Source organism: Homo sapiens, chromosome 3 (assembly GCF_000001405.40).
Source record: "Homo sapiens chromosome 3, GRCh38.p14 Primary Assembly".
Taxonomy (NCBI): domain Eukaryota; kingdom Metazoa; phylum Chordata; class Mammalia; order Primates; family Hominidae; genus Homo; species Homo sapiens.
This window is the reverse complement of record NC_000003.12, coordinates 159832121-159860005: the sequence shown is the minus strand read 5'-3', so window position 1 is coordinate 159860005 and position 27885 is coordinate 159832121. Positions and strand designations below refer to the sequence as shown.

The following is a 27885-nucleotide window of genomic DNA, read 5'->3' as shown; positions in this document are numbered from 1 at the left end:
CACACACACGCACACACACACACACACACCCTGTCACACATTTCTTTAAGCCAATAGCACTCAAACTTGATTGACTGTGCAAGAGGATTACCTGGAGGGCTTGTAAGTACACAGTCTATTTTTCTGTTTCAAGAAAGTCTGGGGTGGAGGTGAGAATGTGCATTTCTAACAAGTTCCCAGATGCTGTTGATGATGCTAGCATAGGCACTTTGAGAACCACAGCTTTAAACAAATTGAGAAGATCAAGTAGCTAGATGAAACACAGAGTTGGTTCTTCTGTAATTGAGCACACATCTGTTCCATGTGGCATGGCCAGACTCTGAAGCCAGGTGGATTTCATTTGTAGCAGCCTGGCCTCTGCCAAGGCCTTACCAGGATGCTTGTTTTGAAGCAATTAATGATCCCCTTGCTTCAGTGCAATCTATTGCCTAGTGATATCTGGCATCATCACCATTAGCAGCATCCGCCAGGGAACGTAACTGGGATTCTGAAGCTCTCTGTGGAAAAGTACTCTTCCTTTAGGAAAGTGGTAGTCGCTCTTATTTCTTCCCCCAGCTTATAAGACAGCTTTATTCTAACATTTATAGGTAGCATTACAGTGTGAGGAGTCTGAAGCTCTTAAACATTATGAACCAGAAGTATAGAACTTACTTGTTTGTTATGTAAATGTTATTAATTTTCTTTGAAATGAAAAGGCCAAAAGAAAACCCAAATATACTAATAGTACTTTCTAGTTATTTTCTCACTGAGACAAACCATGAATTTGTCACTAGACCAGAATATAAAAACAGCATTCTAGAAGAAAAGAAATTGTATGCTGTTGAATGTCAGGTGCACAAATTCTTGCACCATGCAGGTTATTTTAAATTCTTGAATCTTATTTTATCCCCTGAGAAGTGCTTTTTAATTGGTAGTGGAAGTAAATATAAGTTAAAAAATAGTATCTTTCAATTGCATCACTGAACGGATAGTAAGTCAGGACACTTTCTTTTCATTTTGTATTTGTGACATTTTCCATTTCAGTCACTTACACTAAACATCCAGAAAGGTCAAGATGAGCTGCCAAATACAGGTTTCCCGAAATGCTGTTGAAATTTCTTATCTTTGCATCCTCGTACCAACCTGCCTAAACATGTTTCCTTAAATAAGTGTCAGCCTGGGCTGCTGGGCAACAGTAAGGCCTTTGGGTGTAAATTGCTCAGGACCTGTACCCACGAGAGAGCTGGCCTCGGATATCTAAAGCCCAGGATGGGCACCCAAGGGGAAGGACTCTGGGGCCCTGTGTCTTCTGACACCTATTTTACTTCAGTATTGGCTGACATCAAAAGAACTGGGATGTCAGTACAGAAAATGCAGATATTTATTTACAATTAATAACTAACTGCATTTATAAATAAATATATTTATAATAACTAACTGTGAGGATGGTTTTGCCTAGTGTTGACTGCATTCCTTCTTATGCTACAGGGAAGTGACATAAACAGAAGCAGGCAGATAGAAATGCCGCTGCGCAGAGTCCACAACACTTGAATATTTCGATTGAGAAGGTAAGCAAAGGTATTTAACAAACACCTAGGGTTAAAGTTCAGTAGCCACTTACAATGGGAACCTTGCAGAAAGTGAAGGAGTCTAAGGTGCAATCTACAAAGATGGCTACGGTAGAGGAGGTGTTTCAACGTTAACTCCTCAAGGGATACAGTGGAAAACTAAATGATTGTCCTCCCCTGTGAGCACCATATCCAAAACACAAACAGCTGGGAACGAACCTGAGCTCATTCTACTTCTCAAATGATTGCCTCCCAGAGAATACTTTTTAGCACAAGACAGTGTTATCTGGCAACTCTATTTTTAACAGGTGCCATTTTAGAAGCCTGGAAACCCATCACAGTCATTCAGTATCACTGACAGGAACACAACAGTCCCAAACACCTACTGCATGGTTATGAAACAGCCAAGCCTTAATCAGCAGCCAGGAAGCTGGTGTCCTCAACCTCCTGTGTAGAATGGACCTAGGATCCGGGGGAGGTGGACACAGACTCATGGCCAGAAAGAAGGTGGGGAGGAGTATTTGGAGTCAAGAAGACCCTGCTTAACATGTTGACTCTGACATTACTACGAGTTACTGAGACTCTTGGAGCCTCAGTTTCTTCTTTTGAAAAAAGAAATAATACCTATTTTTAGGTTGTTTTAATAATTAAATGAAATACTATATAGAAAGTGCTTGGCGCAGTGCCTGGCACAGACAGAAATTTATAAAGTGGTAGCTGTTATTAATATTAAAAGGAAGGGGTGGGGAAGGTAGTGAGAAGAATGGAGAAAGGGAGAAAAAAGGAGCCAGAAATGTCTGGAACAGGTCCATTTATAAATACATAAAGTAAATTAGCGGTTGTCAGAGGCTAAGAGAAGAAAGGATTTGGGAGTGACTCCTGATGGGTACGGGGTTTCTTTTTGGGTTGATGAAAAATTCTGGAATTAGACGATGTGCACAGCCTTATGAATATACTAAAAACCATCAAAGTGTACACTTTAAAAAGGTGGCTTTTATGTATGTGAATTATATCTCAATTTTTAAAAAAGCCATACACACACACGAAAATGAGGAGAGCTGGAAGCCTAAGGCAACTAGCGAGGAGAAGGGAAAGAGACCAAGTAGAGAGTGCTGTAGAAGATGACCATGACATGGAAGGGGACATGTGTGTGCACGTTTGTGTGCATGTGTGTGTGAGAACAAGAATACATCTAACACACTTGCATTTCACCGGAAATTCTAGTTACCTGAAACAGCCCATTCCCTGACCATGCTGGCTAACCGAGGTGTGCCAATGGGGTGATATGATAAGAAACCTGAACCACGAGCCAGGAAGCTTTATATTTATAACATCTAAGACCGACCAGGCTAATTCTTTCTTTTTAAGAAAAGGAGAACCTGGCCCACAAAGCGGAAGAGATTTTTCCCAGGTGGCTGAGGTGGGGCTAGGTCCCAGGCTTCGGTAACTTAACATGGTTCTTCAAGCGTATTCAGCCCTCACAGGCAGGAAGACGTGAGGGTTAATGGAGGTCGACGGCTGTTTTTCCTCAGTAATTGTGTGGGGAGGGCAGAGAGCTTGTCTGGAATGGCAGCTGGCATTCTGTGTTCCTGTTTATTGCAGTTTATCTCAAGCAGTCATTTCCATTCACCTTTTAAAAAAAACATGAGGCGCAGCTGTGGCTTCACTTTAAATATTGTTCCTTCCAGCCTTTTAATTTTTTCACAGGGTCCTCCCTAATCTTTCACCATAATTGGATGCACAACACTAGAGACGGCACCCCTGAGGAACAAAGCGAAGCGAGCGGCTGGCCCGGCCCTGGGCCCACTCACCGCCCTGCTGTCAGCTCCCTGATTCTGTGCACAGTAGCCTAGGAACAGAAGGCAATACCAGATTCCCTGCATTTTCTCTGCTCTGGAACAAAGTTGGAGCCAGTCTTCTGCCATATTCTATATTAAATTTTCCCGATTTCCTTTTCTCTCTCTCCATTAGTGTCATTTAGATCTTTCCCTGCCCCAAGAATGTACACATAAACAACTCTCGTGTTTAAGGTACACATTCCTGGGGCAGGGAAAGATCTAAATGGCTGCACACTTTAGAAGTCCACACCGGCTATCTGGACACTCCAGGCAGCATCAGTTCCATGTAGTTTGTTCCTTTATGTGCCTCCCCCATTGGGACGGTCAGCTCCTGGAGGGAAAGCTCAGTCCCCCTTTGGTGATCCTAGAGCCATGCACAGTGCCAGGAACATGAGAGGGCTCTTGGAAAAATGATGGTGGAATGGATGAGGACACTGACTTAGATGCTGCATACCACGTTGGTCCTGAAGACAATCAGCTCTGTGGTTCTTTATCAGGGGATCAGAACTTGCTCACAGCAGGGCAGGGAAATAATGGGCTGAACACATACACCTCGGATTCTGCTAAGGTCTGCACTTTTCTTCTTAAACACTAAGATATGTTTTCTGTTGAGGGCAGTTTTACTATTACTATTGAATAAACCAGAGGTCCTTAATGAAACATCTTTCTTACAGTCAAAACCTTCCCCACGGAAAAAGAACAGAAGCATAATCTTTTTCTTCCTTTGCTTCGGTGGAATCTAATTTTAGTCATCAGAAAGTGACCTTTCCCCCTGAAGGCTGTTTGTCTGACTTTAAAACAACCCTGTAAAATAATCCCTATACACATGTGGTATTTATTAGTGCAATTGGTTCAGGGAATTCTATGGTACCTAAGCAGGGATGTATCAATTTTTTAATTGTTTTTGACAATTGACCTCAAAATGGGGTGAAAGTACCACAGGAGATAAAAAAAAAATTACAACTTTTACTTATATTTATATTTTAAACATTTTATTCTCTAAAATATCTATTTGTGTATATGTTTTACATACACACATTGTATTTTATAGTGGTGGGTGCTATTTCTGAATAAAATATATGTATATTACAGGCATGGACTCAAAACCATCTTACTGATGAATGCAAGGTCAAAAAAGCCTGCAGAGCCCCACTTTACGGCATCTAATTTAATTTTCTACTTAGCCAACAAAACAGGAAAAATATTAGCGAAAAAATTAGAAAAGGAAGATTCTAATTAGGGAAAGTTATTTTTATACTAGGTAACTATTTTCTTATTCCTCATATTTTTAAAAAAGTGTATGTTGCCCTGTTTCACTAGCTCATAGTAAAATTACAAAGAGTGGGTTTAAAAAAGAAGGATAATTATAATGAAGTCTTCATAATAATCACGATACACATAAACATTTGAAAACACTTTGCCTGAGGAAGGTATTTAAAAGGCCGGAATGACAAGAGAACAACCCTCATGTTTAAGATCCGGAACATAATGAACTGATCTCTGAGCACTCCACACATCTAGAAGTTTCATCTTGCAGTTTTTTTGTACTAACCTATCAGATACTGAAATCATATGCGGCATTCTACTGCCTTTGTTAGATAATGGGTTACACAGTGCAATTCTGTTTTGTTGTTGTTGATGTTTTAAAGCTCCTTGAGCCGTACATGTCTGTAGCTTTAGTCAGCCCTGTCTCAGGTTGCTGGTGTATCACTGCTTACTTATTCCAGGCATCTGGGTTCCCTCTGTTTCTAAGTAGGAAAAAACTAGAACAGTCATGACTTCATTGTTAATGCATTAGCAATGGTATGTTTCATTTTTCCTAAGTGCAAACTGACCTATCCTCTTCTATCTGAGAAATGGTCTGACAAAGGACACCATGACCAGTTCTTTGACACTGAAAATAGCAGAAGTATGAGATGGCTACACTTGTTCTGCAGAGCTGGATAAGCAATCTGACTCTTACGGCAGAGTGTCCCAAGCATCTTTTGCACATCGCTTCCGGCAGAAGCGGACAGCTGGGAAGTGTTAGGGTTATGAGACTCAGCGAACTATCACCTTGGTGCTCATTCCTGTCTTGGGGATCACAAGGGATGAAAAACACAAACGGCAACATGGCAGGTTACTGAAACCGCTTTCACATATTTAAGTTTCAGCTTGTGGAGAAAGAACATAAGCTGTTGTGAACTCCTCTAGGAAGTACAGTATATACTTAAAACAGTCCCCACACTCACACACACACATATATGTATATAAGATATAAACTACCATATTTTACATTACTATACGTAAGGATCTATCACGACAGAAGCTTCTTTCTATATGTCATTCCTGGGAAAAAAGTTAGTGATGTATTTGATCAAATTAAAAATTAAGTAGCAAGTTTTACTGTTCTATCATTAACTGATATTTGCCTCTGAGGTAAAGAGGTCTTCATTTCCAGGCCCATGATGGAAGGGATTTTATTCTTCATGTTATGCCATGTTGTGAACTACACTTGACTTGTGGCAAATAATGAAGAGGGAAGGACATAGTGTGTGTTTTAGGCTTCTGTGGACAGATAAGCATATACTTGTAGTTTAATTTCATGACCTCACCCATATAACTAAAGCTATTTTTACTCGGGCCTGTGATTACCAGAACATTACCATATAAAACATTCTCAAAATATATTTACTGACTTTCAAAAAAAAGGGCAGGGAAAAGATGAACAGATACTGTATCAACTTTTAAAAACCCCAAACATGTTAACTAAAACTTGATATTTTTCATTGCCAATAAAATCAAACAAAAAATTGGAAAAATAGGTTAAACATTCTAGTAATTTTTTTTGCCAGTGAACTGTAAATATATGTCAATAATTTTTAAAAAATTCCTTCACATAAAAAGCCTGCCTAGCAGTTAAATGCATAATAGAATTTTTTCAACTTCAGAATAACAACATGTGTGTTTTAGTTGCTGCTGTAACATATTAATGAACATAAGCTGGGAAAAGCAGAAAGAACTTTCCTAGCTTAATGCATTTGATTCTGTGCATTTAGTTTTTCCTGACTATATTATGGCAATAGCCACTGAGTGTGGAATTTGGCCACTCCTCAAGGGTGATCTTTCTCCAGTTAGAAAAATGGTTCAATTGTTTATAAACAAAAGAGCTCTCCCCCCTTACCTTTTTATAATTCCCCTCCATATCCAATGAGGATTCTTGACTGATGATGTCATCCATTCCATCACTGTCCAAATTCATCCTTTAACTCTTTAGAATTTCACTTAAGAAATAACCTCCCATGAATTCTGATAGGCTGATGTGCCAATTGCCCAGTTCCCTGGTTACTGCTCATACTGACATGGAGAGCTGGCTAAGAGGCTGTGCCCGGCCGTGTGTGTTCTTGCCCCACTCTGTCCCACAGACACTGCCCCGCCCAGCCTCCCTGGCCTTTCCTTGCTCTGGCACCGGGCAGCTGCTGTTTTCTGAGGCTCACTCTGCCCCTGACACTTGGCTTGCTGACTCCGGCCTTCCCACCATCTGCTGTCACCTTCCCCTGAATGATCCCGCCCCAATTCCTCTCCACAGCACCTTTCCTGTTCCCAAGAAAGGAAAAGAGAGGCACTCAGCTTCAGCCAGCTGATTCAACTCCGCGTTCAGGGCCGAGTGTGGACTGGAGCTCTGTGAGGAAACTAGCAATCTGAACCAGGGGTAGATTGTGTGGGATAAAAATAGATGTGAAAACTTCCAGCCCAGCCGACTTCACTACTGAGTTAAAAGCTGGGTATCCCATGACAAAACGGAAACAGTATAATTTAAAGGCTGACCTGTAACACAGATGTTTGCTTTTTTCCCCCTTTAACTGATCATTTCTTAAAATCTCATGTAAAAGTCTCATCTGGTAGGAGCTCCAGGACGAGACTGAAATTCACTTCCAACACAGAGAAGGACCCTTCTGCCCTGGGAGCAGTGCTTTGTTCTATTAATATAGGCAACAGAAAAAGATCCATCAACTTTTCTTTAAAATTCAAGCAGTGGCGGGCTTTTTCACAAAAGCAAACGTTCTTTTCTGCTGCTCTCTTTACACTTTTCCCATGGCTTCTGGTTTTGTTTACAGGCTTTACTAAAGAGAGGGAAAAGGCCCACAGCTGGAGGATGTTTTGGTGCAAGAAGCAGACAAGCAGAAGTGCACATACAAACACACACTCATCAGAATCAGCTTACTACTGTCATAAACTAAAAATTATGCCCAGTGTTTATTTCCAAAAAATAAAGCTACTGTTTGCAGGAGAAATAGGTCAGAAAAGAATTCAAAGGGCAAGCCTTCATTTAGCAACACCATCTTACACTCTGACAAGCTTAGATAAAAAGCAGCAAGTATACTAGTCAATAAATTTTCCAATATAGATTCTTGTGCAACCACAATACTGTTAAGAACAGAGTTCTAAAAGCAAAAAGGCTATTCAAGATAACCTTTTGGCATCTGAACTGCTGCTGACATGCTCACCTTCAGTGTCTACTTATTTCTCTCCACATTTTTTAAAAATTCAATTTGTAGAAGACTTGTGGCATAAATGTGTTTCAAAGTAGTTTATAATAGCCCTACTTCTATAAAGCAAATACTTCCCTCTGTAGCCCCCAAACCAAAGTGAAATCTTCCCTTTACTCCATTCTCATTGCCCCACCTCAGTTCCAAAAAGAATTAATTGCATGTTTGTCAGATGTTACAATAACAAGTTGTCTCTCATGAACCACATTTGCATTTGGGCAGGGTTTTCCCTGGAAGAGATCTCCCTTGTCTTACTCTCCTTCAAACCCCAGGACCCTCACTCCAGATGGGGGTCCCACTGTCTGCATGCAGGCAGCCCAGAATGCTTCCCGGGGCTGTGGCAATGCTGGCCACAGACTGCTGCTCCCAGTGCCCCGTGCAGGTGCTCAAAATACAGGAGAATTCACCAAGGCTAAGACTTTGGGGTTAAAGTATGCTCTAGTTTGAAGGACCCTGTGTATGTTAAATCCTGCCAAAGGAGGTTAGTTAAAATGAAGGAAGCATGCATCTTCTTACCTGGCATATATTAACAGCTACCCTTTATTGAGGGAGGGGTTGCTATGTGCCAGGCACTTTATATGTTCCTCCTACATATGTCTTTAATCCTCTCAATAATCTTTTGGAGTAGATATTACTATCAATTGTGTTTTACAGCAAAATGAAAGAGCTCAGTGAGGTTAAGGAAGATGAATATGGGCTCTCTGCCTCTGTGGCCCACACTCTAACCATCCCACACTGGCTGCCTCTGTAAGAAATAATTGTGCTGAATAAAATAATCAAGTATAGCTTTTATTTATTTATTTAGACAGGTTCTTGCTCTGTTGCCCAGGCTGGAGTGCAATGGCATGATCATGGCTCACTGCCACCTTGACCTCCAGGCTCAAGTGATCCTCCCACCTCAGCTTTCTGAATAGCTGGGACTAGATAGTATAGGGACTATAGGAGTGCACCACTATGCCTGGATAATTTAAAAAATTTTTTGTAGGGATGGGATCTCACTATGTTGCCCAGGCTGGTCTTGAGCTCCTGGGCTCAGGTGATCTTCCTATCTTGGCCTCCAAAAGTACTGAGATTATAGATGTGAAGCACCACGCCCATCCAAGCATAGCTTTTAAAGATTAGAGTTCAACACAGACAAATCTAGTAGAGCTCCAGATATGTGGTTTGGATCTGTGTCCCCACCAAAATCTCATGTTCGATTGTAATCACCAATGTTGGAGGTAGGGCCTGGTGTGAGGTGACTGGACCATGGGGGTGGTTTCTAATGGTTTAGCACCATCCCCCTAATGCTGCTCTGGTGATAAGAGTTCTCATGAGATCTGGTTGTTTAAAAGCGTGTAGCACCTCCCCACTCTTTCCCTTCCTCCTGCTCTGGCCACGTGAAGATGTGCCTGCTTCCCCTTTGCCTTCTGTCGTAATTGTAAGTTTCCTGAGGCCTCCCCCACCATGCTTCCTGTACTGCCAGCAGAACCATGAGCCAATTAAACCTCTTTTATTTATAAATTACCCAGTCTCACGTATTTCCTTTTTTTTTTTTTTTTTTTTTTTTGAGATGGAATCTCCAGCCTGGAGTGCAGTGGCACAATCTTGGCTCACTGCAACATCTGCCTCCCAGGTTCAAGTGATTCTTCGATTTCAGCCTCTCAAGTAGCTGAGATTACAGGTGCCCGCCACCACGCCCAGCTAATTTTCGTATTTTTAGTAGAAACGGGGCTTCACCATGTTGGCTAGGATGGTCTCGAACTCCTGACCTCAGGTGATCCACCCGCCTTGGCCTCCCAAAATGCTGGGATTACAGGTGTAAGCCACCATGCCTGGCCAGGTATTTCTATATAGCAGTGTAACAATGGACTAATACAGCTCCCTGTATAACAATATCAAGAGCTGAATCAACATTTTCCAGATCATACATCTGGAACACCCAGCACGTATTGTCGCATATCTCTTCTGATGAAGCCTCAAGAAATGAAATGGAAGCTACTTCACTGATGTCAGAACCTAGTACGCTATATGATGAATTTTCCTTTCCAGTTTACCTGGTGTCTTTTAGCACCACTGTTGCTTCTTTCCAACAGCCACTGTGGTTGCAAGCTCTTTTCTAAGGGGACAGGGATTTGTCATCTTGTTTACCCCATAGCATGTAGAACACTGCCTTGCACACGATAAGCGCACAATGAAGAGCTGTTGACTAAGTACGTGAACAGAGGAAATATGAACGTGCTGCTTAAAATGTTTCCTCTAAATGCTGTCCACAGTAGGAAACATTAATAGTGCTTTTCAACTGAAATCTTCTGTGGAACTCACATATGTTCAAAAGGAAAAAAGGGTCTGCTTTGATTGAATGAGGAGGGCTACCACACCCCACCTGGATGCTCTATTCTCCTATTATCCCAGCCCCAGCACAGCCTCTCAGGAAAGCTCTGTGGAAAGGAAGCCCTAGGACCCTGCAGACCCCACTCACTCTGCAGACTACAGCTTGAAAAGCTCTAAAGACCATACAAATGGCTCTTTCACAGTAGCAGCAAAGCAGTATTCTGCTCCTGGCTCCATGACTGTACTGATTTCCAGACCTCAGTCCACTGCACTTGGGGTTCAGCTACAATATGAATTTCATTCTTATCTGGGTTAATGTCGTAGTCCACTTAGAAACCTATAATCGATAGCTAACATGGATGAAATTATAATAATTTAGAGACTGCAAGACTCCGTAAGATACATAAAATGATATGCCTGATTACTAGTATCTTTTTACTTTAATTTTAACAGAGTGGGCTTAAATATACAATTAAAATGAGAAAAACTGAACTCTCATGATTATGTATATATACATACAGATTAATATATGTGTACTAGTAATATAGTAATGATATACATACACATGTATATACACATACATTGATAATATATTATCTTTTGGAGAGAGGCACCTCAAAATTCGAGATGGAAATTTCCCAACAAAACAACAGCAACAAGGAATAGTACTGAGAATACTAAAAGACCATTCCACTCCTCTACCTGCTAGCTCCTTTTTTGTCGTAAGTGTTCTCTAATAAGCACTATACAGAGACAAGTGATAGAACATCTGCTCCTGAAACATGAATGCAAGCAGTTGAGGGCAGTTCTCAGTGGTGGTGACATCACTGTGCACCCTCCCTAAAGAAGCTCAGCACGTAGATAAGCTCATAGCCCAAACCCTTTCCAGATGGAGCTGTGCCACCGTTTTCAGGATAGCTTGTGCCAGCTTAAAATATCTGAGAGTTTCCTATTATGTGTGGCATCACTTATCTGTGAAACTTTCTAGAGTTTTGCTACTCAAAGTGTGTTCTCCAAGCAGATTATCAACAGCACTGGGAGCTTTCTAGAAATGTAAGCCCTCCAGTCCCACTCCAGAACCACTGAATCAGAAATTGCATTAAAAAAAAAGAGAGACCCCTAGGATTTTTGAATATACCTTAAAGTGTAGAAGGGTTGCTCTAGAACTTGAAAAAAAAAATCATTATCAGCCATTATCCCTCTATTTCAAACCACATTTCCAGGCAGGGTGGCAAGACCTTGACTACATGCTTGGGATTAACACTGTAATTAATTTCACTTCCATGTGGTCCAAATGAATACAGGAATGGAAAACACAAAATAAAACACCACCTTGGCAGAGACTTGAGCTGAATGTAATGCCTGATGGTTTGCCAGTAGCTTGCAAATGGGGAGACAGCCACTCCTATCCTTCTATGGGGATTGTCTCTGGTACCTCCTCTGCTGCTGCCCTCTCTAGAATGAACTGTCCATGCATAAGATGGGCCCAGATACTAGCGCTCTCCCTTAGAAAACCTACTCACAGTCACTTAGAATCCCTGAGGTTGAAAAAGCCTCTTCCCACTCCCTGCTCTGAATTTCAAGGACTAGCATGAAGAGCTTTGGTTTCCTGTTGAGCCATGATCTGAATTGAAAGGCACATTGCTCACGTGAGTTAATGCTTTTAAATGATCATTATCAGCCATTGGTGGAAATTATTAACTCTGAGAACACTGACCACATTACTGGGAGATCACTTATGCACTGTCAAAAGATTTTCCTATCATACATGGAAACTCGATTTCATCCTGATTAACCCTTCATCTCCCACTGCCTTCTCCTCGGCCTTAACATCCATATTCCATGTATTAGATTTATAACCTCTTTTCAAATAATTTTTTTCTTCTGTGCAAAGTTCATCTAAATTTGGTTTGCTTTTCAATTAAAGTATTCTGATAGCTAGAAAAGCCATGAAAATATGCAGGCCATTTAAAGGACTTTGCTGTATAGATTTTTAAAAAATTAAAATAATGGTATTAAAAGTGTGGGGTGGGGAGGTGGCAGTGCTGGGAGTAGACAGAGTATCACACATTTTCCTACATCTAAAAGATCGTGGGCCATAGTTGTAAATCTTCCTGTCCAACTAAAACCAAGCACGAGAAACTCAACTGTGGTCACTCTGATGACCATCGCACAGCTTCCAAGTGGAACCAATTTTAATGTCCTCATTATGTTTCTCTGTGTGTTCTTTCCCCATTAATGGCTTTCCTACACTGATTGTCACTTAGGCCTCTCTGATGGTTGTTTTCTTTTGAATTCAAGCAGTTTTGTCAAATTACTTTCTATTTCAGGAAGTTTGGTAGTTTCTGATGCTTCTATATAGTGCACAGGGGAATACTAAGTACACCAAGATTTCAAACTTTCCCTTGTTATAGAGAATATAAATAAATAATGGGATATGACTTCAATGGGATAGGGCTCTATTAATGTTGGGCTTCTGTATGTAAAACTGTGATTAGTTCCCCAAGATTTTATATATTTGTGCGTTATGTATGTGCATGAATAGGGTGTCTCTACTTTCAAGCAAGCATCAATGCAATGTGATATTTTCCATAGAGATGCCCCATTTCCTTCCCACCCCCCATCACCACCATCCTTTCCAAGAATAAATACTAGACCTTTGGATTAAAATATGTTTCACATATGTACTTCTTAAAATCACTCGAAGTCTGAATCATGAAGTTTGAGGCCCAAATGCTACTTTAAATAGAAATGATGTGCTTGTACTAAATTTCTATTTCAGATCAGGCCCACAATGAAGCCCTGCTAATTTTTTTTTTCCATGTGGGGCTCTTATCATTGTGCTCCTTTTGTGGTAAAGCATATAAATTAGATTTTCAGACATCTGAGCTAAAAAAAAAATGCATATAAATTTATCTCCAAAATTTTTTTATTGATTTCAAAGGTTACTCCCTCTTTGGAAAAACAGAACTATATCTCAACAAGGCAGACAATAATTATACTTTAAACAGGCAAAACAATGAAGACCAAGTACTCTTCAGCACTATTAACTATAGAAAAAAAATTCCCCATCAAAAAAATCTATAGAATAAAACAGAAAATTGTCTCATTGAACTTATATTTAAAAGCCTCCATCAAATAGAGCACTAAAATGCTTTGAAATTCCCTTTTCCATTCTAATATCTTTTTCCCTGCTGTGGAAGAAACCAGGCTTAAATTGGGTGGAATCTTGAACTCAAATTTGATACTTTGTTTTCTCAATCACAGGAAGAAGGGATTGAGAGACTAGTCCTCACTTGTCCTGGTGTCGATAGGGATAGAATATATTTGCTTTCCTTTGTTAACCATTAATGACCCACTAGAATCTGGGCATAAAAGGCTGTTTACCACTTTCTCCAACAAGAATTTTAAGAATATCATGATATACTACTTAAACTGATATACTCCCTAGTTTTATCACTTAAGAGCAACACAGGGTGTCTTTTATTTTATGTGCTGGGTATGATACCTCAATTGGGCTGAAACATTTGGCCACAGAAAACTTCGGTATTCCATGCGGTGGTAAAATTATCCCTCTATAAGGCAGACGGATGTATTAAAACTTTGCAAAACTCATTATAGTAAGAAAGGCAGCTTGGAGATGAGTACTTGCAAAGCACTTGGGGACAGACCATGAGGTTCATCTTGGGAAAATTCTCTGGATGAAGAAGTAGGCATGGAGGTATTTTCTTAATGCATTGTCTCTGGGAAGGCTGGAATGTCTGTGCATCCCAGTCATTCATTTATTTTGTGCCTTGCACTGCACCCCCAATTCTGGCACATGAGATGTTTAAAGTGCGGGCAACTGGCCAAGAGGCTGAGAAGCCAGGTACATGGACTTCTGAGGTCAGCTTCACCAACTCCTTGTTACAACGTATGGATCTGAGCTTATCTCTGGGGTTACGATGGGAAACCCTGATCCTAGGGACTCAGAACATCAACAATTGCATAAAGTGCAATTCAATCCAACAAACATTTATTGAACACATACTCTGTGTATAAGGCAGAGACTTGTGAAAATTTAAAGAAGGCCCCTTGTCTTCAAGAAGCCTGTTGTCGGCCAGGCGCGGTGGCTCACGACTGTGATCCCAGCACTTTGGGAGGCTAAGGTGGGCAGATCACCTAAGGTCAGAAGTTTGAGACCAGTCTGGCCAACATGGTGAAAACCCGTTTCTACTAAAAATACAGAAAATTAGCTGGGCATGGTGGTGGACGCGTGTAATCTCAGCTACTCAGGAGGCTAAGGTGGGAGAATCGCTGGAACCCGGGAGGTGGAGGTTACAGTGAGCCAAGATTGCGCCACAGCACACCAGCCTGGGCAACGGAGCAAGACTCCATCTAAAAAAAAAAAAAAAAAGAAGAAGCTTGTCGTCTAATGGAGGAGACAGACCTATATGTAAATAGTTGTAAATGGGTTCTAATACAAGTAAAAACAAAATGTACTGAGAAGGAGAAATCTGGACTGAGAAATAAATGGGAAAAGTTTCCTGAAGGAGGTGGCATTTGAGCCTTGAAAGCTGCATTAGCCTGCAGTGGGTGGGAGCAGGTGGTGTGTGGGTAGGAGACATCTCAGCCTGAGGCATTGCAGCTAAGAACTGATGGCACTGTGAAGGCAGGAGTAAAGGGTCTGGAGCGAGAAGCATTTCTGCCTAGGGGTCAGAAACAAATGTCGGGCCTTGAAGGCCATGCAGAGGAGTCTGAAATGTATCCTAAGGAACAGAGGGAAGCATTAAAGATTTCTGACGGTGCTTCTCATGACCTGGTATGTGTTTGAAGAAGGGACTCTTTATGCTCCCAAGGGAGGAAAAAGATGAGTGTTATTCACACACTATTTTACTTTTTCTTCTTCAAGTCTCCATTCCCACAGTAGCTAAGAATGTCAGGGTGTGATCTATATCTGGGGCGGTCATAAGGGAATTTAAGCAATGGCAAGAAAGGTATGAAAGCATGTCATTGTTTTTATATACACACTTATCCCAAAACCCCACTCCAGGAAAGAGGGAAAAAATATTTAAGAGCTTTTAAGCAAAATGGACCCTTCGACCTAAACTTGTGCTTTCAAGTTTACAATATTTCTAAGCTGTCTATCAAAAACCATTTAGAAAAATGTGGCCTCTTGAAGGCTGCCAGGCCTGAAGCTGTGGGCAAGTTTCTTTCCTGAAGAGATTGGCTTCCTCCCAAGACTGGAAAATGGAGGTCGATAGCTCTATCTTTTAACAGGGCTAAGACCACAAATGACAACACATGCCTCAGTAACCTCTTTGCTAACATAAATCCTGTAAGGAAGAAAAGTATATGAAGATGACGACGATGTGAGCAGTTTTAAAAACAAAACAAACAACCATGAAAAATTCTGTAGGAGAATTCCTTCTGTTTATTCCTCCTTGGTTTACGTTGTTCAAAGAACAGTGCATACAAGCCCTTGCTCAAACAGGGGTGTTCAGGCTCTTGGTAGCAGCGAAACTCTCTTTTTCAAAACAAATCATCCATTTAGAAAAGCAATGTGTAAGAATCCATTGTATTTCTACATATTAGCAAGATACAACTGGGAAATGAAGTGAGACACAGTTTCCCTGGGCCGCTGAACAATCCTCACCAAACCCCTGATGTGCTCAGAAGAAATGACACAAGAGGAAGGGGGCTCTTAATTCATGATAACTGACTTGTTTATGCAGAAAGGCAGCCTCTGGCAGGGGACCTGGCAACTCTTATGCCAGGAAGTTAACTGGGAAAGTCTCCATTTCACAGATGAGAAAACTAACAAGAAACAAGGGGATAGATAACCAGCTCACACACAATGAAAACAGTGCAGGTTCATGGTGGGAGGAGGGGAAGGAGTAGGACTGAAAGTCATAAAACAAGAAACCAAAATGCCATAGAATGTTTACAATGCTTTTTTTTTTTTTTTTTTTTTTTTGAGACAGAGTCTTGCTCTGTCGCCCAGGCTGGAGCGCAGTGGCGTGATCTCAGCTCACTGCAAGCTCTGCCTCCCGGGTTCACACCATTCTCCTGCATCAGCCTCCCTAGTAGCTGGGACTACAGGTGCCCGCCACCTTGGCCGGCTGATTTTTTGTATTTTTTTTAGTAGAGATGGGGTTTCACTGTGTTAGCCAGGATGGTCTCGATCTCCTGACCTCGTGATCCGCAGCCCTCGGCCTCCCAAAGTCCTGGGATTACAGGCGTGAGCCACCACGCCCTGCCTTACAATGCCTTTTTTGTTAGTCAATTTTACAAATAGTAGACATATCCATCTGTATTACTTGAGGACCTATTCTAAGCACTGAGAAAGCAGACAGAACAAAGATAAAATCCCTGCCCTCATGAAGTGAGTGAGGGAGCCAGAAAATAGACAAATAAGTAAAATATGTACTATGATAAATGGCGATAAATAAATATAAAAATAAATTAGAGAAGCATGATAGAAATATTGGGATAGGCCGCGCTCATGCCTGTAATCCCAGCACTTTGGGAGGCCAAGGCGGGCAGATCACCTGAGGTCAGGTGTTCGAGACCAGCTTGGCCAACATGGTGAAAGCCAGTCTCTAGTAAAAATGCAAAAATTAGCTGGGCATGGTGGCGGGCGCCTGTAATCCCAGCTACTCAGGAGACTGAGGTAGGAGAATTGCTTGAACTCAGCAGCTGAGTTTGATTGCGCCACTGAGATTGCGCCACTGCACTCCAGCCTGGGCAACAGAGTGAGACTCCATCTCAAAAAAAAAAAAAAAAAAAAAAAAAAAAGAAAGAAATATTGGGATAGAACTGGAGAGCTGGAAGTTTACAGATTACATCCAGATAAGGCTTCACCTAGAAGTGACATCTGAGCAAAGACTCGCAGAAAGTGAGAGAGTAATGGATGGGGGTAGAGGCGACAATATAAGGTAAATATCTATAAGATGTAAAATATTAGATGCCTGGTTGAATGTGAATTTCAGATAAACAGTGAACAATATTTTAGTGTATGTCCCAAATGCTGTAAGTTATTTGCTAAATCTGGCAACCCTACACAGTGGGGCGGGGAGGGGGTGGATAGGGGAGGTGGGGGTGCATGCCAGGCAGAAGGAATAGCAGGTGCAGGGCCAGCCCAGCATGGTAGGAAGGTAGTGGAGGAAATCAGGAATGTAGGAGCGGAGTCCAAGAGGAAGCAGGGACGAGCTGATATAAAGCCCTGTTAGGACTTGGATTTTTACTCTGAGCAGGATGATAAACTAAAATTTTTGAGATATGGGACATGATCTGTCTTCAGTTTTAAAAGCTCATTTTGGAAACTGTGTTGAAAATAGACTATGGAGTGTGGGCAAGGGCAGGGGTAGGTAGAACACATAGAAGGCTATTATTGCTGTAATTATGATGACAATAACAACCACGACAACAATGATGTACATCTATACAAAAGCACAAAAATGTGCATGCAATTTTCAGGGGAATGGCCCCTGAAGCCCCCATTCATGGACTACCCATTAAGAAATCTTGGCATACATCATTTATGGGAGAAAAGGAATCAATATTTCAAATGAATTCTATCAACTGACTAAAAATGCTAATCTAAGAAATTTGCTTTTAACCACTGCAATATCATCCTTAAAAAATAAGTAAGTCCTTGTAAAATGGTGGGGAAGTTTCCGAAAGCCATTCAACTGCAGATATCATCAGTGACTACAAACATCAAGCTAAGGACTTCAAGAAAGCACCTTTTCTGAATCTAGTTGCATGTGGTGCCAGCTGGGTTCTAAAATGAAGGTTTCTAAGTGGGATTAAGATTTGGCTTCAAGGTTAATGTTTCTGTTTTTGCTGAGCTATGTATAAAGAGAGAGCACTTCAAAAGAACATACACATGTAGGTAGTTCTACTATAAAATCCCATGCAGATGCAAAATCTATTGACCATTATTACCCAACCAATACACTTAATTTTATTGTGAAAATAAGCAATAAATACTTCAAAACTATTAAACACATAATGACACTGTTATATATTGCAGCTCATGTAAAATAAAATCAATTTATCTTCCTTTGGAAGAAGTAGAATGCTAATATAACCCCTTCTCTCCAGATGAAATTGCTGATATTTGACCAATTTTCAACCTACAAAAACAATGCTTTTATGTTCAACCTAATGAAAAGACATATGGAATAATCTTATAGTAGTTTGCCCTTCAAAAATAAATAGATTCTTGGAAAAGAGAGAGTTATTTTAATTATTATAGTAATTCAATCACCTGGAGCCATGCCATGTGTAGATTAGGCTCTCTATGGATACTTGACATCCCCTACCCTCAAGTTCTGTATTATGTGTAAGTGACATGTTGGTTTTTTTCTCAGCATCTCTGACCCCTTTCTCGTGGAAAGAATTACTGTGAAGCATGACGCTCAATATTTAGGATCTATGGCCCTAAATGTACCATAAAATGAAAATACTATGAAATAAATCTGTAAGTACAAATTTCTAGTTATTAAGCAAGACAAAGTATATAAATACATTTCATAGGCACACGTTACTTAGCTGAGAAACCACTGCCTTGAGTCTTGTGAAATGTACTATTTTGCCTGCACATATTTACCATTGTGAAATCTGACCTTATGAGAAACACTTGCTTGTCTCAGGTAACCGACCTCACACAAGGAAGAAGCATTGTTAAGTTAGAGAATTGGTCTCTCAGAGATTCTAAACTCAGTCAGTTGAGTAATATCCCAATATTAACTCTCCAAGATTTGGACCAGCCCTGCCTGCTGCTGCAAAGAGCAATTTCTCTGAGAACATTCTTGCTGTCTGTTTTCAACAAAGATACTTTCTATGTTGCCTCAACAGTCCAAGTCCTACCAAGGAGTTACTAAACACTCTAGAGCTGATCTTTTGAAATTGTCTAAGTGTTTAATTCATAACTCCAGTAGCAAATTAGCATACAAATGAATATGAATTACTAAGATTTTTCTATTTGGAGTTTTTGATGCATGTTGATACTTTAATGCTTATTTACCAACCATTTAAAACAACATACTAGTAAAAATAAGTTCGGAAAGACACACAAGTGCAACTTTAAACATCAAGTGCATACTGGCTGATTTTTGAAAATTTCCAAGATTATCAATCGCGACTATCTATTTACATAATTTCTTAAAGATAGTCCTAAAAGCTGGATGTGAAGCAACTCACATCCTATGCAACGAGCAAAAATCACGTTTTTCAGTGTTATCGATGTGAGATTCCAAACAGATTTTCCTCTGAAATTCCCTTAAATTCAAATTACAGTCCAAAGCAATTCCTCTTTTTTGCAGACGTACAAAATATGCAAAGCACATATCACCTCCGTGAATTTCACAAATGCTTTAAAGGCCAAGGAAGCAGTGTTTTCTGCCCCATTACTCCCCAGAAAAGCTAATTACAATTCAGATACTGCACGTGATGAAGGCCAGGCGCGGAAGATGGCAAAATCCCTGAATATCCGGAAAGAGGCAACCTGCTGCTTTGGAAGAGGAAGGCCTCCTCTCCCAAAGGATGCCGGCCTCAGAATCAGGCTTTAAATTTTACCTGATACGAGCAGTTATCCTGATGTACCATCTCAGTGCATCCTAGGGCGCAGACCCCAACGCAGGACTGCTGAGCGAGGCTGCGGAGGGCAGGCGCGGAGCATCCACCGGCGGGCGGAGAGAACGCCCTGGTAAGGCAGGGGCTCCCCGCAGATTAAAATGGATGCTGTTTCGCTGATCAACCTGCGCAGTGGCACTGCCTGTGCCGGGAAGCGCGCAGCTAGCGAGCTGAGCTGCTCTCCAGCCCTCCGAAACCAGTGAGGCAGGCTTAGGAACATGGAGCTGGGACCGGGCTGGGGGAGGGGGCGCTCATCACCCGCACAATCAGCCAATTATATTATAGGCACAAAGAAAAGGATCAGTCTGGAGCTGGTGTGACCTTCTGGTGCTTTATGAAGGCAGTTAACTGATGTGGAAACATTCTAGTCCTCATTAACGAGAAAAAGGCCAGCGAGGGAGAGGGAGAGGGACAGACACAAATCAATGTTGCAGTTGAACATTTCTAACCTCCGGCATCATCCTTCCTACCCACTAAGGCTGCTTGGCTGGTGCTTATCAAAAAAAAAAAAAAAAAAAAAAAAAAAAAAGAAAAAGACCTTAAAGATAATTTTAGAACTTTTAACATGCTAAAGAGAGAACAATCCATTCTGAATACCAACAATGAAAGGATGTTTTTCTATGTTGAGTTTTTGAAGTGTTTGTCAACTTTATAACTAAAAGGTCTTTACTCTTTAAAAGGATTATTTTGTAATTCTTTAAATTCCCTGCTTATTTTTGGCTCCTAGCTTCTTTTTAAGTCAAATAGAAATAAGATAGAATAATTGCTGTTATAAGTTTTTTTAGGGAGAGAGCTTATTAAAATATTAAAGTCACTATAATTTACTTCATGAAAACTAAACTCTTAATTGGAAGGTTTTTTTTTTTTTAATGTAAGGCTTTGTACATATATTATTACCCAACGCTGTGACTTGAAAATATGGACACCCCCCAATGCAGCACATACAATTCTTGGAACAGACCCATCCTCCCTGAGACAGAGTAATTCTGGACTTGCGGACAATACTCAAAGGAAATACAAGTCAGACAATACATGTTTCTGGGAAAAAACTGGGGCCAGTTTCTGAGTGGCTTCAGGGCCACTTCAGGACTTGAGGATACACAAAAAGAAAAAACTGGGCTATAAATTCTTCAAGCTAATGTAATGAGAAAATTAAGGGGGAAAAGTTAAATAAAATTTTCTTATTTATATTCCTCAGTTGCCACAGGCAATTAGTTTTGTTGTTTCTTTTCTTTTTTAGCTTTTTTTTTTTTTTTTGAGATGGAGTCTCACTCTGTTGCCCAGGCTGGAGTGCAGTGGCGAGTGGCGAGATCTGAGCTCACTGCAAGCTCTGCCTCCTGGGTTCATGTCATTCTCCTGCCTCAGCCTCCTGAGTAGCTGGGACTACAGGCGCCCACCACCATGCCCGGCTAATTTTTTTATATTTTTTTTGGTAGAGACGGGGTTTCACCGTGTTAGCCAGGATGGTCTTGATCTCCTGACCTTGTGATCCGCCTGCCTCGGCCTCCCAAAGTGCTGGGATTATAGGCGTGAGCCACCGCGCCTGGCCCATGTTGTTTCTTAATAAAATAGCTCTGAGTACATAAATGGTACTTAACAAAAATGTGACTGAATTTAAACCATCAAATTAAAAAAATCAATAGGGACATTATTTTTAAGCTATTTTAGTATCTATCTGTCCTATGTTCTATTTATGTAGCCGTCTCAAAAACTCTTCCTCTTCCCATTAACCACGCAGTTTCACTGTGCTACTGACAGAGAAAACAAGTACTTTTTGCATGAGAAATGGAATTGACATGTTTGACAAGTTTTCCTATCAAGCACTCTCTTAAAAATGGTGGGAGTTTATGTTAGGATTATTTGCTAATGTAATTTTAATAACTTATCTGTTTTGTGGAATGAGAAAAACCTATTTTTATAAATATTCTTAATTTTTACTATTTGAGGTTCAAGCAGGAGCAAAGCCTGCTATTGCTATCTCAATTCGACTCCCTTGACGCACTCACAAGCACACTCATTTCAGCCTTCCTAGTGAGGAGAACGAAAAGATGGCCCTGAAAACTCAACTCCTGGTATCCTCAGAGGCTTCAATTTCAGCAGCAGGTTCAAAGGAAAAGTACTCTGGAGACTCACCGTGCAGAAGCTCACTGCCCTAATCCTTCCTAGTCCAGGAGAGGGGTGGGTCACATAACACGTGCAGGACTTTCTAGGCCTGCTCACTGGCTGCACAATGAAAGCTTGATGAATAAAGCAGAAGCCTGGGGGTAGGGAATGAGTCAAGATGAAGACAAGAAGATGGAAACTTTTCAGGGATAAGAAACAATAAACAATACACCCCCATCCTAAAACTCCATTCTTCTCTGAGAGAGACTTCTGTGTAGAGTGCCTTGCAATACAACCACCCAACAAGGTTCTGGAATTCTTTTTTTTTTTTTCGGGCGGGGGATGGAGTCTCACTCTGTCACCCAGACTGGAGTGGTGTGATCGGCTCACTGCAACCTCTGCCTCCCAGGTTCAAGCAATTCTTCCGCCTCAGCCCCCGGAGTAGCCGGGACTACAGGGGCGCACCACCACGCCCGGCTAATTTTTGTATTTTTAGTAGAGGCACGGTTTCACCTTGTTGGCCAGGCTGGTCTCGAACTCCTGATCTTGGGTGATCCAACCACCTTGGCCTACCAAAGTGTTGGGATTACAGGCCTGAGCCACCGTGTCCAGCCAAGGTTCTGGAATTCTAAATATGAGCAAAGAAGAGCAGGCCAAAGGAAAAAAGTTCACTTTGCAAGGTAGCAGATAAGATGAAGTGGAAATCTGTTTAATATAAAAAACACTTTCCAAGACAGAACAGCTCTAACTTCAAAGGCAGTTAAAACCTTACTCAAGTTACTACCTTGACAATCTATGACCCTAAGACTCAGGAACATGTTTCCAAGCTGTGCAAAGCTTAAAAAGCTGCTTCCTGGACTCTGTCTTTTCTGAAAACTGAAGACAATGGGATATATTACATAAGCTCCCAAAGACATTTATCATGTGTTGTTAAAAAAAAAAAAGTCTAAACATGATTCCACTCTTCACAGTTGCTGTTCCATAAATAGTGGAAATGACTCAGAGGTGGCTCTAGGGAGAACAGATTTCTGACAATTGTATCCCAAATCCTGTCAAAAAAACTCTCCCAAGAGGTATAAACAAGATGAAAAAAAATGAATATATTAGACAGGCTTCTCTTTATAGTCATTCATTGGAAACAACTTTGTGTTATAATTTGAAGTATGATTTGCTAGTGCAAAAAACTTTAAACAGAAACCAGCTGTTCCAAGAACACTTAAGCTAGAATAGTTTACCAAACTGCAGTAACATTTGTTATCTTTAACTAAAAAATATTGATGAACTTTTTATGTAAAGCATAGTCTTTGTAGCATAGGGATTTTTTTTTTCTTCTCAGATCTTCACAGCTTCCCTTCCCATAAAAAGTATTGAGTTTCAAATTTAGATGGGACCTCAAGAGATCATTTAGCCTGACACTGTTATTGTTCAGATATGGAAACCAAGGTCTAAGAAAGTTGTGGCATGCCCAACAACAAAAAGCCATCAAAGCAAGGAAAACAAAGAAACAAACATGATTTTCTGGGTTCATACCAAATAAGTGTGTTCCATAGAAAACAATGCTCCTATGGTCTGAATGTTGTGCCCTCAAACTTCATATGTGGAAATCTAATCACCAGTATGATGGTATTAAAAGGTGGGGCCATTGAGGGGTGATTAGGTCATGAGGGTGAAGCCCTCACAAATGGGATCCATGCCCTTTTTAAAAGAGGCCCAAGAGAGCTACCTTGCCCCTTCTGCTGTGTGAAGACACAGTAAGAAGATGCCATTGCCATCTATAAATCAGGAAACGGGGCCTCATGAGACACTGCCTTAATCTTGGACTTCTCAGTCTTCAGAACTCTAAGAAATACATTTCTGTTGTTTATAAGCTACCCAGTTTATGATATTTTATTACAGCAGCCCTAACAGACTAAGACGAATACTAACTGAGGACCCACCAGACTTGGAGAAATAAACCCCTTTTGACTGAGCCAACTGAGGCTGCTCTTGAAATCAAAATCTATCATAAAGTAAGAGTGAAGCTGCAGCGTGGGTCTACCTAAAACTCAATTCAAGGTATGTTTTAAGGGAAGAAAAATTAGATTATTTCCTTATTAAAATATTGTTTCTGCCACCTACAAACTATTGTGTCTTTAAATCCAGAAAAGCATTTTTTTTCAATTGTGGCAATTAGCAACAATAGAATGAAAGGGGGTTTTGGACAATAAATATAATAGTAAAAAGTTACATCCTCAGGCCATCGAGCATACAGTTTTGAAAGTGAATAGCCTGGGTCAGGAACTGACCCGGAAGGGGCATAGGAAACTTTCTGGCATAAGCTGTGTGAGTTGATTAAGTGTTTGGCTATACAGGTGTGTATATTTGTCAATACACATTGAATAAAACATTAAGATATGTGCATTTCTTTGTACATAAAATTTACCCCAAAAGAATAAACAAGAATAAACATGAACTCAAATTGATGATATGCAGGCTAAAGTATTTAGGGCACTTACTGATGTCTGCAACTTACTTTGAAGTACATCAAGTAAATGAGAGGAATTGATGGATGGGTAGATGGATAGGTCAATGGAAAGCTGTGACAAAGCAAGTTTATTAAATATCAGTTGTTGAATCTAAGTGGTGCAGCAATGGGTATTTGTGGGAAAAAGTCCACTTGAAAGTCAACTCTTGCACTTAACTCACACGGCTTATGCCAGAAAGTTTCATATGCCCCTTCCAGTCAGTTCCTGACCCCAGTTACTCACTTTTGAAACTGTATGCTCAGATGGCCTGAGGATATGACTTTTTACCACTATATTTATTGTCCAAAACCCCTTCCATTCTGTTCTTACTATGTTGTTACTACTCTGTTCAAATTGAAATGTTAGAAAAAATGAAGTATTGGGGGTGGGAAAGATGGGCAGGGAAGTCACCATCTTAAGTAATAACTTTTAAGCTTTTCCTCAGGAAATTGGGGAAAGCAAGTAGACATATAGCTTAAGTTGTACTTCTTTACTGGGCAATGAAAGAAAAGGAATGACGAGAAAAATTAATACTGTGGATATCAGGGAAACTAGGTCCTTGAATGCCGCACCCAAAGAATTACTTGTCACTACAGGTTGAGTAAACCTTATCCACAATGCTTGGGACCAGAATTGTCCTGGATTTTGGAATATCTGCATATGCATAATGAAATATCTTAGGGATGGTACCCAGGTCTAAACACGAGATTCATTTTTGTTTCATATGCACTTTATACACATCACCTGAAGGTAATTTTATACAATATTTCATAATAATTTTGTACATGAAACAAAGTTTTGACTTCATTTTGACTGCCACCTGTCACATGAGGTCAGGTGTGGAATTTTCTACTTGTGGCATCATGTCAATACTCAAAAAATTTGGGACTTTGCAGCATTTCAGATTTTAGATTTTGGGGTTGAGGAATGCTCAACCTGTATTGTTGCCACCAACAAAACTGGCATCATCTACAGACAATAAACCTTTAAAAATGCTTCGCAGAAACACAAAGTGTTTTCCTCAACATCTTCCTTGATTTTTGTAGTTGAAACAAGCTCCTATCATGTGCCATGTGAAGTAGTGTTTCTGCCCTCGAGAAGTTTGGTAAGAGAAATGAGGCAGTACACAAATGACTAGATATGACGAAGATGAGTTAAATGCCTCCGAATATTTTGTTTGCTCACTAGAAATTCAAGAGAAGAGAACGCTCAGCTAGAGTGAACCAGGAGACTGCAACAATCTTGTTCATTTGGTTATTCACTTATTTAATGTCTGTATTTTGTAGATCTAGATTAATGTGAATTTCCTTAGAACTTACATCTTGGTTGGTTTACTCAGTGCTATATCCCCAATGTCTGACATAGTACCTGGTTCTCAATAAATACTTTGAAACAATTGAATAAATGCATATGACCCTCATGGTAACATGATGAAATGGGAGTAATGTAAAACAGCTCTTACGTACTCAGGAAAGGAAGAGAAATGGATGTTTTCTTCTCCTAATTAAGAACAACATCAACTGTCCAAGGAATAGAGTCCTTTGGAGGATAGAGGAGATCATGGGAATGGAAGGGCAAAGACAGAGGGATGCATCCCAAGACACCAAAAAAGGAACTGATGGCACTTAGGCAGTGATCTACATGGGGGAGTGAGCAAGATAAGGAATTGTGAGGTTTTGAGACCATTACTGGAGTAAAACTGGTGCTGTGAAAAGAAACAGGGAAGTTAGCAGAAGGAACTGATTCTGAGAGGGTTGGGGTAGAGTAAGGAGGTTTAAATTTTCATCATAAAATTCGCAGTTGAAGGTGTAAGAGGCAGCTGGAGCTTAAGAGAGATCAGGCTGACAGGTAGAATTTAGGGGTCTTTTGCACAGAGAGGACAGTTGAAGCTGTAAAAATGAATTAGATTAAGGGAGAGATTGTAGAGACAGAACTAAAGAGAAACAAAGACATCACTGTGGAAGGCACAATAATGTCCCCTGTCTCCTGGGTCAACTGTCTACAACCTAATCCCCAAGCGGCAAGGTAAAATTATGATAAGCAGCTGTCTTTGAGATGGGGAAAGTAGCCTGGTTATCCAGATGAGCTCAATGTAATAATCACAAGGGTCTTATAAAGTAAAAGTCGGGGAGGCATAAGAGAAAGAACCAGAGACGGCAGTATGAGAAAGGCTTGGTCCAATGTTGTTGTTGGCTTTGAAGATGGAAGAAGAGGCCACAAGCCAAGGAAGGTGGGCTGTCCCTAGAAGATGGAAAAGGCAAGGAAACTGATATTTCTCTAGAGCCTCCAGAAAGAATGCAGCTCAGTGGACACCTTGATTTTAGTCCAGTGAGACCCATTTAGGACTTCCAACTTTTGATATTATAATACCAATAAATTTGTGTTGATTTAAGCCACTAAATTTGGAAGACTTTGTTATAGCAGAAATAGAAAACTAACTCAGTAGTCCCTCCTTATCCATGTGGTATACATTCCAAGACCCCTAGCGGATGCCTGAAACTGAAGATAGTACTGAACCTTATACATACCATGTTTTTCCCATACGTACATATCTGTGATAAAGTTTAATTTATAACTTAGGCACAGTAAGAGATTAACAACAATAACAGGTAATAAAATAGAACAATTATAACAATATACTGTAGTAACAGTCATGTGAATGTGGTCTCTCTCTCAAAATAGCTTAATATTTTCACACCACAGTTGACCGATGGTAACTGAAACTAAGGAAAATGAGACTGCAGATAAGGGTAGGAAGCCCACATTTAGAGAGCAAGGGGATGCAAAGGAGACATAGTCAACAAAGTGAGAAGAGAATGAAAACTAACACAGTGAGAAGTGACAAGAAGAGAGGGAACGCTGACAGAGCCTAGTTTCTTCAAATACTGCAGGGACGCGGAGGAGAAAAACAACCAGAAGCCATTAATTTGGACTATTAGGAAGTCACGAGTTATGCCAAGGGAATAATTTCAGTAGTCGTGTGTTAGGGGTGGAAGCTGGGTGGTTGTGGCTAAGAAGTTGAGGGTCTGAGTTGAGAGTTTGTGAACAAGCTTGTTAATAAATCAGAGCATTAGGCTGGTAGCTTGGAGAGGTTGCCAATGTAGCTGATGTTTAAGATGTGGGAGACCCAAATGTCTAGGTGGGCAGCAGGAAAGGAGCCAGCAAAGGGAGAAACTGATGATGGTGAATAGAAAATAAGGGCCAGGTGCTAGAAGAACTGGGTCAGGAGTGTCTGGCAGGCATTCATTCAGTCTTGGGACTGAAGATATGGTGAGTAAAGTTACAAATTAATGTCGAGTAAAGAGGAAGTTGTGGTGGCGATAGGGGAAGATACAGGAGCACAGATGGCTGGGTGGCCTTGATCTGGTCCCTAAAGCTGCTTGGTTGGAGCTGCTGCAGGTTAAAACCCCTAGGGCAAGGATGTGGAATC

At 40.7% G+C, this 27885-nt stretch overlaps 2 protein-coding genes and 1 long non-coding RNA gene across 38 annotated transcripts in view, besides 1 other annotated feature; 1 reads left to right on the top strand and 2 right to left on the bottom strand.

Annotated features, from left to right (window-relative positions):
- Nucleotides 1–27885, bottom strand: part of IQCJ-SCHIP1 (IQCJ-SCHIP1 readthrough) — an 828041-nt gene that overhangs the window by 37354 nt on the left and 762802 nt on the right. The gene's annotated exons all lie outside the window — the stretch shown is intronic.
- Nucleotides 1–27885, bottom strand: part of SCHIP1 (schwannomin interacting protein 1) — a 624116-nt gene that overhangs the window by 37354 nt on the left and 558877 nt on the right. For 4 of the 33 annotated variants that reach the window (NM_001414424.1, NM_001414425.1, NM_001197109.2 and 1 more), the window contains exon 1: nt 19792–20046. The exons of 25 other annotated variants lie outside the window; for them this stretch is intronic. Coding sequence is in view for 6 of the 8 variants with exons in the window: in NM_001414425.1 (NP_001401354.1) it covers nt 19792–19821 (30 nt within the window). In the remaining 2 variants the exon portion in view is untranslated. Of the gene's footprint in view, nt 1–6548; nt 6853–13138; nt 14605–19791; nt 20047–27885 lie in introns of those variants that run through there. 4 more of the 33 variants (NM_001394294.1, NM_001394296.1, NM_001394295.1 and 1 more) reach the window with 2 other exon arrangements.
- Nucleotides 5–23926, top strand: LOC124906299 (uncharacterized). Its single transcript, XR_007096145.1, has 3 exons — nt 5–102; nt 1468–1547; nt 23848–23926. It is a non-coding gene; the product is annotated as an uncharacterized LOC124906299 (long non-coding RNA).
- Nucleotides 6832–7126: a silencer, noted in NCBI's record as "tiled region #8585; K562 Repressive non-DNase unmatched - State 22:ReprW". NCBI's record gives its function as "represses a minimal TATA promoter and a strong SV40 promoter by Sharpr-MPRA in K562 cells {active_cell/tissue: K562}" and the evidence as "EXISTENCE:reporter gene assay evidence [ECO:0000049][PMID:27701403]".